Below are 12580 nucleotides of genomic sequence, written 5' to 3'. Positions count from 1 at the left end.
TCTCCCCTTGTCCCGCCCCCTTGCCACGGTCCACCTGCCCGCCGTAGGTTAGAGGCGGGGAGGCCTGAGAGCCGGGCAAGGGCTGTCGCGCATGCGCCTTGAGGGAAGATGGCACCTGCCGGCTGCTGCTGCTGCTGCTGCTTCTGGGGCGGCGCTGTGGCCGCCGCGGGCGCCGCCCGGCGTGTCCTGCTGCTGCTGCTGCTGGGGGTCCTGTCCGCCGGGCTGCGGCCAGGCGCCCTGGCCACCGAGCACTACTCGCCGCTCTCCCTGCTCAAGCAGGAGCTGCAGCACCGGCAGCAGCAGGAGGCCCCGGCGGGCGGCGGCGGCTGCAGCCCGCAGTCCGGGGACTGGGGGGACCAGTACTCTGCCGAGTGCGGCGGTGAGTGGGCGGCGGCGGGCGTCCGAGTCGGCCGGGGCGGCGGGGCAGCGGGGCTGGGGTCCCGGGCCGGGGTACGGGTCGCCCGGGCCTCACGCCTCCGGCTGCGGCGCGCGATCCGCGGGAGCCGGCTCGGCCAGGGGTCCTGGCGGGCAGCTTCCCGCCGCTGCCACCCACGCCGCCGCGCGCCCTCCTGCAGCCGCCTTTGGGCAGGGCGGCGAGTCGAGAAATGAGCTGACAGCATGCTCCTGGGGCCAGGGCGGCCTCTCTCCTGAGTCTGAAGCAACTGTTGGAAGGGTGGCGGAGGAGATGGCAGGTGGCCCGGGGCAGCCCTGTTCCCGCCGCCGGCCTCCCGAGGATGCCGAAGGGGCGAGGGAGGGGCGGGCGGACGAGCAACCAGCCCGGCGGCTTGCGGAGCCCGCCCCCGGAGGGAGACGCCTGGCACATCTTAGGCCTGGAAATCAGGCTTCCTGACCTCCCGGGTTAATGTCTCGTATACAACAGTTCCTAAAAATTGGATCCCTGGAATGGAAAAAAAGAGCAAGCCCATCTTATCTGCTCGTTGACATCTTGCTTCCAGTTGTTTAAGATCAACCTGCGATCTGTCAGGTGTCTCCCAGAGGGAAAAAAGGCCCCTGCAGGCCTTGAGCCTGTGTGTCAGTGCCGTGTGTGTATTGGAGCTACGCCAGCTCATTCATTAAGAATGGGCGCTATTGGCTTCAGTTTAATAAATCATAGCAGATGCCTCTGGGACAAAATACGTGTGTACATTTTTTTGTTTTGAAGTTCTGTCGTGGGTCTTTTTACCCATCAATCTCCTCCCTTTCTCTTTCCCCCTTCTCTATGTGAGTTCCCTTATGGCTTGCTTTGGGAAGGACCGGGGTCTACCGAACCCACTGGGAGATGGTTGCTTTTAAGACTTGGCAGTGGTTTTCTTCGGCATTGTGTACCTGGGAAAACAATACCTTTTTTTTTTAGTTGAGATGAGACGTCAAGATTAGCACAATCTGATTTCCTTTTAGTACAGTCTGACTTCCTTGAGGAAGTGTCACTCACTGAGAGGTTTGTGACTTTTTTATTTTGCGGTAGGCCTTAGCTGGTAACGGCGTAAGTAACACGGCCAGCCTTGCACGGTGGAGAAAGAATGGCATTTACTTACCTCTGTCACTTTCTGTATCTCTGAGCAAGTGAATTACCTGTCTTTGTAAAATGCCTCCTCTGTAAGTGGAAAACACTGTTCACCTAATTGTGGGGTTTTATTTTCCTCACGAGGGTGCTGTGAGGGAAATGAGAAGTAGCCGACATATATTGAGTGCTTGCTGTATGCCAGGTGCTGTTATAAGTGCTTTAGGTCTATGAGCCTAGTATATTAGTCTATCAGAAAAACAATAACCACCTCATTAGATGGTGGCTCATTTTCTCAGATGAACAAACTGAAACATAGTGAAATTGTCATCTTCTTGAGATCCCACAGCTGCCAAAGGAGGAACCCATGAAGTCGGGCTCCAGACAAAGCCTTTGTCCTAACCATTAAGTGGTTGTAGGTAGGCAAACCACATCTGAAGTATTTACTTGCATATGGTGCATGTTGGGTAAATTTCCCTTTCTCCTTTGCTCATGTGGTGCTCACTGGCTAAAGGAGCCCCAGCGTTTAGACAGTAGAAGGTATGTATCGATTAATACTATGATATCTATTGGTATCATTGATGTTGGTGGCTTATTTGATTCTTTGGCATCAGGCTAACCACCAGTATTTAAGAACCCTGTTCAAGCCAGCTCTGACTTGTATTACGATATTTCCCTGGAGGATGAACACTGTATCATGAAGCTGTAAACATAATTTATTTAGATGTTTCTACCTTCTTTTTCTCTCTCCCATGTAGTACTTATTTTTTCTAGCTTGGAATTTAAAATTTACTGTTGCAAATGAACGACCTGAGTCTTTCAGATCACCTCCCCTGGCTGTGTGAGTAGCTACCAACAGGTGCTAAAGTGGGGCAGCTGCCGCTGTGGTCACCCAAGAAGTCATTTCCAGAATCAACTACTTGGAGCTCCAGCTGTTTCCCTCAGCTTTCCTGGCTGCAGTATGCGACAAAAGCCAACTCTGTTGTTGTAGGGGCTACTGAAATACTTCTCATTTCTCCCTCTTCGCCCTGGACAACTATGTAGAAGCTGGACCCTATGAAACCTGTTTCATTTCTTCTCTGTCCTAGGATGTGGGGATGAATTCGGGATTTACAACTAACCGTGCCATAGCCTGAGGGGCAGCTGATGCTCTGTATCCGGAGACCCATTTGAGCAACATTAGGGTCTAGACAAATGTCAGGATCCAGAACTAGTCAGTTCTTCAGAATCATACAGACTTGGCTTTACTAAGCATTGATCATGCCATCGTCTCTTGCTTGCCTGTCCAGCCACAAACCTGTTCATATCAATCCAGCACATATACTGAGGACAAACACAGCAGCACAACCACTTTTCAGAATCTTTCCCACAGCTTTCAGGTTCAAATGGCTGAGCTGATGCCTGCTTGGGTCTAAATTTAAATCTGCATACCTTCTTACAAGCAGTATATGTATTCCCTTGAGACAGAACCGCCAGTGATTGTACATACAAGGACAGTGGCTGGTGGGAGCCCACCAATCCAAAGACAACACACTAGCAATGGCTGGCCCAGCTATGCACACCACCGTCACATGGCATCCATGTCCCAGGGAACAGCCTAATGCTCAGTGGGCTGAGCCCCACCCAGATCTACTGCAGAAGTGACAGGCATGGATGTCCCTCTGGTGCCATATGTCTCAGCTTGAGCTTTGCATGTTTCCTGATCCGCCCTTAATATTTTCTACTCCACATTTTTACATTTTACCTTTTTGATATTTTATTTATTTTTACCTTTTTACTTGAAAAGCATATAACCACAAACTTGTCTTCTCTCTTTGTTTACTTGTAGAGAAAAAATATTATTTTAAAAAAATGAACACTGTATTGTACATATTTTAAAAATAAAAGTAAATTTCCTGTTGCCAAAGCCCTATCTTTAATTTGTAACTGTCGGAGGAAATGATGAACAGAAGTATTTTTCCAATTCTTTCCTCACTTTTTTAGTTATATTGTCATAAACACTCTGCAATCTTTTTTAATCCTTTTGATACTGAAGTAGGTGCTGTTGTTTTTTCTATTTTTTTAGAGACAGGGTCTTGCTCTGTTGCCCAGGAGGTAGTTCATTGGTGCTGTCATAGCTCACTGCAGCCTTAAATTCCTGGTTTGAAGCCATCGTCCTGCCTCAGCTTCCCAAGTAGCTAGGACCACAGACGTGTGCCACCATGCCCAGCTATTTTTTTTTTTTTTCTGTAGAGACAAGGTCTGGCTATGTTGCCCAGGCTGGTCAAACTCCTGGACTCAAGCAGTACTTCCACCTCAGCCTCCCAAAGTGTTGGGATTACAGACGTGAGACACCGTGCCTGGCCAATGCTGTTTTTAATCCCCATTTTACAAACTGAGACAGAGAAGTTAAGGTTATACAGTAAAGAGTAGAGCCAGGATTTGAACCTGACCTGACCATTTGTGTGTTATCTTCAGTAATTGTTGCATATTAGTATAATTTCTTACTAATATTAATGATGAAGTCCTATAACTTCAAGCTTTGTTGAAAGTTATATTCTTAAATCACTATTAGAATTTTGTCTTTGACTACAAATTCAAGGATGCTTCACTGAACCTAGTGTTTTGAACTGCAGGACTAGAATGGGTCTGTTCTTTCATTGAAAAACTATTTGTATACCTGCTAGATGCTACTTAGTATTTTGGACCCTGGTGATGCAGCACAGCTGACTGAGTTCCTAGTGTGGATCCTGTGTCTTGGTGAGGGAAGAAATAAGTACAGTTACATACCATTTAACAACAGGGTATGTTTTGAGAAATGTGTCGTTAGGCGATTTCATCATGGTGCAAACATCAAAGAGTGTACTTAGACCGAGATGGAATAGCCCATTACACACCTTGGTTGTATGGTATAGCCTATTGCTTCTAGGCTACAGACCTGTAGCATGTTACTGTACTCAATACTGTAGGCAGTTGTAACATAGTGACAAGTGTTTGTGTATCTAAATACAGAAAATGTACAGTGAAAATGTGGTATTACCGTCTGATGGGACCATTCTCACACATACGTGGTCCATCATTGGCCGAATCATTATGTGGCGCATGACTCTATATAGTAGGGCCCAGTAATACATGCCTTGAAAATAAAGCAGTGTGAGAGGATAAAGAGCAGTGTGTAGGTGCTACTTTAAGAGGTGCCCCGGGATGGCTTCTGGTAAGGAGACATTTGAGCTGAGACTTAGATAGAGTGAGATTTGGAGAGATCTTAGAAATATCTTAATTCAACACTCTGTAGATCTGCTACATTAAGGTCTTGTGAAATTTGTAACTTGTTCATTGATTTAAAAATTCAGGTTCTCTGCTCTTCTTTTTTTTTTTTTTTGAGATGGAGTATCGCCCTGTCACCCAGGCTGGAGTGCAATGGCGTGATCTCGGCTCACTGCAACCTCTGCCTCCCAGGTTCAAGTGATTCTCCTGCCTCAGCCTCCCAAGTAGCTGGAATTACAGGCGCCTGCCACCAAGCCTGACTAATTTTTTGTATTTTTAGTAGAGATGGGGTTTCACCATGTTGGCCAGGCTGGTCTCGAACTCCTGACCTCGTGATCTGCCCACCTCAGCGTCCCAAAGTGCTGGAATTACAGGCGTGAGCCACCACGCCCGGCCCCTCTGCTCTTCTTACCAAAGCTAAACTGCATCTCTTTCAAATCATGTATTAAATTATATCTTTATACTCTTTACAGACAGTATAAGGTATATTTTATGGTTCAAGCATATGCATTTCTAGAAGTTGTTTTAAAAATACTTTTGTTTTCTCCTCTCGCCTTGAAAATGTAGTAGTAACAAGAACAGTGAGTTTGTGTGAATCTTTTTTTCCAATGCCTTCAGCCTTTTTTCACTGCTCTTGAGTGATGCAGCCCTGTACTTGATGTCTTAATTTTCATTAGTTTGTTGAAATCAATGAAAGCAGAATTGCATTTATTCTATTTTCCCACAGTTCTTTATGGGAAAAGGCATTTAGAATCTGTTTGTCCAATTTGAGAATTGTGAACTGCCAGAAAAATAAGGAAGTAGCTATGAACCTAGCTCTGTGTTTTTGACAAAATTGGTAACACTGAGATTGTCCATGTATATGGTAGCTTTCTTAATTAAGGAATTGGCCATTTAAATACATGAAGTCAGTCTTTTTGCTCACAGCACATAGATCACTGCTATGCCTAGAGGTGGTAGAGAATCAATAGAAGGAAACTTATGAGAGCTATTTCCTTTTTTGCTCTATGAGGAAGTTAAGAACCACATTTTGTGCTCAGTCATAGCAATTGTGGTAACCATTACTGTGAGTGTATCTGGTCAATCCTTTCATCTCCTGGCCCTGATTTTCTGTGTTTGTCATCATACATAGTTTCATGGCAGACCTCTTCATATCTTGTTTTTCAAGGCATTCCTGAGTAAATTTGCCAGTGCAAAGTCGCTGTGCTCAGAGACTGAGGCACAGAGTGATGAAGAGATTGTGATCTTGCCACATCCTGGCCCCTGTGGCATTGCCAGAGGGTGTTTCCCTTTTGCTCACTGAACAGCATCTTTCAGCAAATCCTCTGGTTTAGAAGTAGCATTTTATAGCATAAGCCCTATGACGATGGCAGCCTATGATTCGCTTTTTCACGTATATCTGTTGTCATTAAGAATTACATCTACCTTTTAAAAGATCTACATACTGCTAAACCTGTTCAACTTCAGGTGATAAGGGTTAATTATTATTTTTTAATCTCTGGGTGGAGGCAAAAATGGTGTGACTTGGGTTTTAGAACCTACCTGGAGCATGACTGTAGGAAAGTCAAGGCTCTTCAATGTGCACCACTCAATGTACAGACAGTTTAGCTTCACTGCACTCAATATATACTTGACTGACTTTTAAACCTTCTCCCTTTCACAATGAGTTGTTTTAAAGAGGTCATTTTGTTTGGGCTCATCTTATCTTGCAGATAGAATAAATAATTTATCAAAGCGGCAGAATTTTAATACTTTGGGTGAATGCTTTCCAGCATATTCCTTTTCTTATGTTTTGGTTTTACTTTTTTATCAAAATACAACATATATACAGGAGAGTGCATATGTCCTAAGTGTAGATAGCTCAATACGTTTTCATAAGCTGAACAACTGATGTAATCAGAAAGAACCGAAATCAATAGCTGTCTGTTTTTAAGATTGCCGATAGTCTCATTCCATGCTAACCCTAGTTTCATTTGGGAAATGTTTTGTCTGATTTAGAGTCCAGCACCATGCAGTGGACTTACACTGCACATGTGCTGGCATTCTTTCCATAGACTCTCACTTAGGAATCAGTTGGTGCATCTCAGGACCACCTCTGCACAAGAAGACCAGTTGTCTTCTCTTGCAACTCTTCCCTGCTGGTGTTTGCAATGTTCTCAGTGACTCTGTGTTCCCTTGTCACTAATCTTTTCATGTCAGTGCCTAGCTCTGTTTCAGCATTCCCTGTGGAGTTGATGTTGTCTGCCAGTATGTGTGGGCTTATGAGAAAGCTTTTAGCTCTTAAAAGTATGTGTCACTTTGAGCATCTGATGCATCTTCAATCTAGTTTATAACCTTATGCTAAGTAACTGGCCTTTGTGGGGAAGGCCTGTTTTGTTGGTTAAGGCATCCTTCTTCTGTTCTGTTCCATGTAATTTGCTACTGTGCCTGTTTTTCCATCCCGTGCAGTGAATTCCTTTTCTTTTGATTCTTTACATATGTTTATATTTGTATGTGGGTTAAGATACCTTTGATCCTATTACATTCAAGCTTTGTTAAAAAACAAAAAACTTCTGTCTCTTTAAGATGGCTTTTGTGGATCCTTAGTTCCTATGGATTAATTATATGTTTACTTTATAATTTAATAATCAGCAGGCAGTGTCTATTTTCAATTTGCTTTACGATAATACATCTCAGGTACCGATGAATATTTCATTTCATTAAATGAAGCATATAAATTCTTCAGAGCATTTTTCCTGTTATTACACTCTCAAAGGAATTTACCACTTGGGACCATATTTCGGGGCCATTGAGCAATGCAGTATATGATGTCAACTGTGGTTGTCTTTTTTTTTTTTTTTTTTTTTGAGATGGAGTCTTGCTCTGTTGCCCAGGCTGGAGTGCAGTGGTGCAATCTCGGCTCACTGCAAGCTCTGCCTCCTGGGTCCATGCCATTCTCCTGCCTCAGCCTCCCGAGTAGCTGGGACTACAGGCGCCCGCCACCACGCCCGGCTAATTTTTTTGTATTTTTAATAGAGACAGGGTTCCACCATGTTAGCCAGGATGGTCTCGATCTCCTGACCTCGTGATCCGCCTGCCTCGGCCTCCCAAAGTGCTGGCATTATAGGCATGAGCCACCGCGCCTGGCCACCTGTGGTTGTCTTATAAGTGCAGAAATTGATAAAAGCAAAAGGCACTACAAGTTGATACCACACAGCCACCTGGCCTTCAGGTAGTTCTTTCAGCCACAAGAATTCTGTCTTCTCTTCGCAGGTTTACCCTATACCTGGGGTTAGGATTGTCAATAAATATCTGGCACTCTACTTTTAAGTTGTAGCTCATCCAAGGGAAAAGCCCAGTCATCCTTATTTTCAAGTAGCTCAGTGTGCTGTCTGTTATAACTAGGTGGTCGAGTGATAAGTGCTACCCAGCAGCTGTTGATTTCCTTATAAATTGGCCATGGGTTTGCCACTTATAAGCTTTCAGTCAGTTTTCTCACACACATGGATGTGTGAGAAATACATGCTACTGCCAATGCCACCTTCTCTCCTTCCTTGGAGGTGACGACTGTCATCTTATTTGACTAAGAAGCAGTGAGAAAACAACTTCCTTGCTCCCCACCACCCCAGCTACTGGCCTGCCCGCAGATGGACTGGTAGATTTTGCCTTCTGTCCTGTTGTGGTGGATGAGTGGCCGGTGCCTCTGCCTAGTTCAGCTCTCTGTTCACTGGCTCTCATTTCCTCTTGTCTTCCGTCAGCATACAGATGGTCTTAATAAAACTACCATCCTGAAAATACAAGCAACTAAGATGACCACACACCCCTCCAGCCACTGCCCCATCCCTCTGCCTCCTTTTACAGCAGAATTCCTCAAAGGAGATGTTCATATGGACTGCCTCCACCACTCCACTCTCTCTTGGACCTTCTATGGTTAGCTTTTGTCCTCGTCAATGTGCTGAAACTGCTCTTCTTAAGGTCAGTTGTGTGTGAGGTTTAGGAGGAGAGGAAAGAAGTTTCAAGACACTGCTATACCTAAACTGTTCATTACTAGGACCCAGCATTGGCAGAAGGAGTTGTGACAAATGTACCATGTTCTTCATTGCTGTGGCAAGACCCGGCTGTGCTATGTCTTTGTTTTGTGACCTTAAACATGTTCATTAACATTGAGTTTATTTCCCCATGTGTACAGTGGGCACAGTGTGCCTTGTATCTACCTTGGAGGATGGAGAATCAAAAGAAATGAGGTTTATGAAGGTATTTGGAAGCTGGGAAGTACTGTGAAGGCCAAGATAAGCTTAAAGAAAGCAGATAGAAAAATTTAACAAAAAAACACTGCGATTTTAGCCTATAAGCCTATACTAACATTTAACAATCCTTTTCTGTGCACAGGGCTTTATACCCTTTATTCTTCACAGTAGCCCTGTGAAGGTATCTGGGGGTGGTTATTTCTATTTTGCAGATGAAGGAGCTGAGGCTAAGACGTACTAAAGGACTTGCTCTAAGTCAAACAGTCAGGGAAGCATCTAATCTGGGTTAGTCTGACTCCATAGCCCTGCCCTGAGCCACTGTTACATTGCCTTCAAACTAATTAATTAAGTTTGAAGTCAGAGAAATACTAGAATTAAATATAAGACCTAGTTCTTTGAAAATACTGCTTAAGATTAGACAGTTATCTAGCAAGCCTAATCAAGAAAAATGAGCAGAAACAAGTATTTGGCTTGAGGAATAAGCAAGTATAATAAATATGAAAATCATTATAATAACTGTATCCAGCTTTATGGCCCAGATGTAGAACCTTTCAAAGAAATGGATAGTTCTTTTAACAAAAGATAAATTGCTAAGTTGATTCTCCCACTATCTCTTAAATACTCATCTTCACCAGGTCAACTCTTCTCTTATTAAACGTAAGCTTCTTAAGCTTTCTTTTTCTTTTCTTTTCTTTTCTTTTTTTGAGATGGAGTGTCGCTTTGTCACCCAGGCTGGAGTGCAGTGGCGCAATCTCGGCTCACTGCAAGCTTCGCCTCCCAGGTTCACGCCATTCTCCTGCCTCAGCCTCTCGGATAGCTGGGACTACAGGCGCCTGCCACTGCACCCGGCTAGGTTTTTGTATTTTTAGTAGAGACGGGGTTTCACCGTGGTCTCGATCTCCTGACCTCGTGATCCGCCCACCTCAGCCTCCCAAAGTGCTGGGATTACAGGCGTGAGCCACCGCACCCAGCCCCCTAAGCTTTCTTAGAGACTGTACTTACAGTCTCAGCTTATCATCCACCATAAGTTAATGATTATCAAATCATCACATCCATATCTGTAGTATTTACCTTTCTCTGGACTTTCTTAACTACATGCTAGAGAGCTTCCAGCGTAATCACTTGACTCAAGCCCAAAGTTAGCTCTTGACTTCCCTCTAAAACCTCTCTTCCTCTTAAACTCCTTGTTTCCGTTGATGGCACCACTTCTTCCCTCATTGCACAAACTGGAAACCTGTGTCTTTTCCCTCTTTCTGTGCCTAATTCTTCCTCAAGGCCCTCTCCTTTTTACTTGCTGTATCCTTTAGACCGTGACCCTCTATTTCAACCCGATGGCTGCTGCCTCCATTCAGACTTTGCTCATTTTAACTGGCCATGGCCTCCCACCTGCCCCCTGCTCTACTTGCCCCTTCTCTCCTTAGACACCTGTTAGTGATGTCGCCTCCTGCTTAAACTCATCCTGCCTTCTTAGTTTAATGCTAAGAAGAAAGGGAATAAATGAACTAGATGCTGAACTTGAGCTGCGAGAAGAGGTAATAAGGGAAATTAGAAGGCCTAATACAGCAAAGCTGGTATAAATGAATTAGAAATAAAGCAGCAGTGGAATTGAGAAATAGACCCGGGTTGTTTTTTTAAAAAAAGAATGATTAAGAAGTTCTGGAGGTCAGTGTGCATATACCTAATACTACTGAACCATACAAACTAAAAATGGCTAAGGCGATTGCTTTTATGTGATGTGTGTTTTTTTTTTAACCACAATAAAACAAAAAGGCCCCCCCCCCACCACCATAGGAAAACAAATTCTTAAGTGATAAAAAAAAGAAGAATAAAATAGATAAGCCTGATGAGGTGACTACAGAAAGAGGGAGCAGGTGCAAGTGTCAGTTGTGAATGAGAGGCATGCGCAGAGCTCCAGAGGCCATGAGAACTTAAGAGGCAACTGTGCAGAAATCTCTGCTAAGACATTAAACTCTGAAGCAGTGAAGAAATGTCCAGAGATGATGTAGAAGAACAAGATAGAATTCTGTGATGCGTTTTCACACAGTTTCTATAGTAATCAGCACTAACTTTACTTGTACGACGTAAGCAAGGAAGAAAACTAATGCTTTTCCTATCCAAGGAAATTTATACTATTTATGTACAGCTGGTTGGGCTGTAATTATTTATTATATTAAGTAGTTATCCTTTAATATAATCATTTATGATAGTAAAGTAATTAAAGCCATAGTGAGTTAAATATTTTAAGATCGAAGAACAAATTTAACCTCCTGTTCCACACAACTATAGTTATAACTCTAGCAACTATTTTTCTATTGCAACCTTAGAAGATACATACATAGTTATAAAAATTTTAAGTAAAATATTAGCAAGCAATTAAAAGAATGATCTACCTCAATCAGAGTTTGTTTTAGAAGTACACAGATGGTTCAACTTGAAAAAATTAAATTAGTTTGTTAATAGGCCAAAGGAGAAAAATCATAGAAACATCTTAAATAAATTTCAAAAGTGCTTGATAAAGGTCAGCAAGCTCTCCTGATTTAAAGTTTCTGGTAAAAAAAAAAATAGAATAGGAAAATACTTCTTTTATATGGTGAAGTACATCAGTCTCAACCCATAGCTGACACAGAGCAGCTTTCCACTGGATGTTGATAAATGTTAGGTGAAAAAGTTTTATCATCAAAAGTTGATGAAATCTCAGTTATTAAATGAAGTATTAATGTCAGGAATAAGCAGGGGTGCCTGTTAATCAGTGGCGTTATTGAGTACTTTTTGGAAGTTTCATCTAGTATAATAAGGTGCTAAATTAATATAAATATTTTAAAAGACCTTGATAAAATTACGTGCAGATAATACAGTTACCAGCTGACTAAATGGAGACATTAATAGGGCTGTAAAGAGTTCAGTAATGTGGGCAGATAAAATATTCAGCACTAGGCAGTTGGACAAAGGATTTACCATGTGCTGGTATTTCTGCCTGACTGCTCTCCCGGTGCCATAGCCTCCCATGGTGAAATCCATAATTTCCCTCAGGTCCCCATTCACTTATTCATGGCTAAGAGCACAGACTCCAGAACCAGACTGCCTAGGTTCAGATCCTCCCTCCACTGCTTTGCTAGAGGGTAGCGTCAGGATGATTACTGCAGGTTCCTCGGGCTCATTTTCCTCATCTTTGAAATGGGGATTCTAAGGTTGCCTGTACACGGTAACTATGTGTTAGCTGGTGTTATTCACGTCCTCGGGAAACTGACCAGGCCATATCTTCTGACTGTGCTGTCATGTGTAGCTCTCACACTGTTGTTGGTTTATGTTTCTTTGTGTACTTTGATTGCTATCAGTTTTCCCACAGGGAACTATAATGTCTTTGTAGAAGAAGGGTCATTTCTGGTTTTGCTCAGTAGAGGCTAACACAGTGATGGGAACATAGTAGATGCTCAACAAATATGTATTGAATCAATGGTTATCAACCCAATTTAAAAAATCACATGTAAATCCTATATAAAATTTATGAAGTTTCACATAGTTTAATAAAATATTTAAATAAAGAGATCAAATTTTATAAAGAAGTATTTCTTCTCCTATTAATCTACAATTTTAATGCCATCCTAAC

The 12580-nt window shown here is 43.1% G+C and overlaps 1 protein-coding gene across 14 annotated transcripts in view, besides 3 other annotated features; it reads left to right on the top strand.

Moving 5' to 3' along the window:
• The window catches only part of TTC13 (tetratricopeptide repeat domain 13), a 72619-nt gene continuing 60116 nt past the window's right edge, over nucleotides 78–12580 (top strand). For all 14 annotated transcript variants that reach the window (NM_001376514.1, NM_001376509.1, XM_006711814.3 and 11 more), the window contains exon 1: nucleotides 78–379. In NM_001376514.1, coding sequence (NP_001363443.1) covers nucleotides 109–379 — 271 coding nt within the window. In that variant the 5' untranslated portion in view covers nucleotides 78–108. The remainder of the gene's footprint in view (nucleotides 380–12580) is intronic.
• Nucleotides 194–453: a silencer, noted in NCBI's record as "silent region_1945". NCBI's record gives its function as "represses an Ori minimal core promoter by ATAC-STARR-seq in GM12878 lymphoblastoid cells {active_cell/tissue: GM12878}" and the evidence as "EXISTENCE:reporter gene assay evidence [ECO:0000049][PMID:35858748]".
• Nucleotides 474–763: a silencer, noted in NCBI's record as "silent region_1944". NCBI's record gives its function as "represses an Ori minimal core promoter by ATAC-STARR-seq in GM12878 lymphoblastoid cells {active_cell/tissue: GM12878}" and the evidence as "EXISTENCE:reporter gene assay evidence [ECO:0000049][PMID:35858748]".
• Nucleotides 5839–6078: an enhancer, noted in NCBI's record as "active region_2720". NCBI's record gives its function as "activates an Ori minimal core promoter by ATAC-STARR-seq in GM12878 lymphoblastoid cells {active_cell/tissue: GM12878}" and the evidence as "EXISTENCE:reporter gene assay evidence [ECO:0000049][PMID:35858748]".

Source organism: Homo sapiens, chromosome 1 (assembly GCF_000001405.40).
Source record: "Homo sapiens chromosome 1, GRCh38.p14 Primary Assembly".
In the NCBI taxonomy this organism is placed as follows: Eukaryota; Metazoa; Chordata; class Mammalia; order Primates; family Hominidae; genus Homo; species Homo sapiens.
The sequence above is the reverse complement of the archived record's forward strand: the minus strand, read 5'-3'. Positions and strand labels throughout refer to the sequence as shown.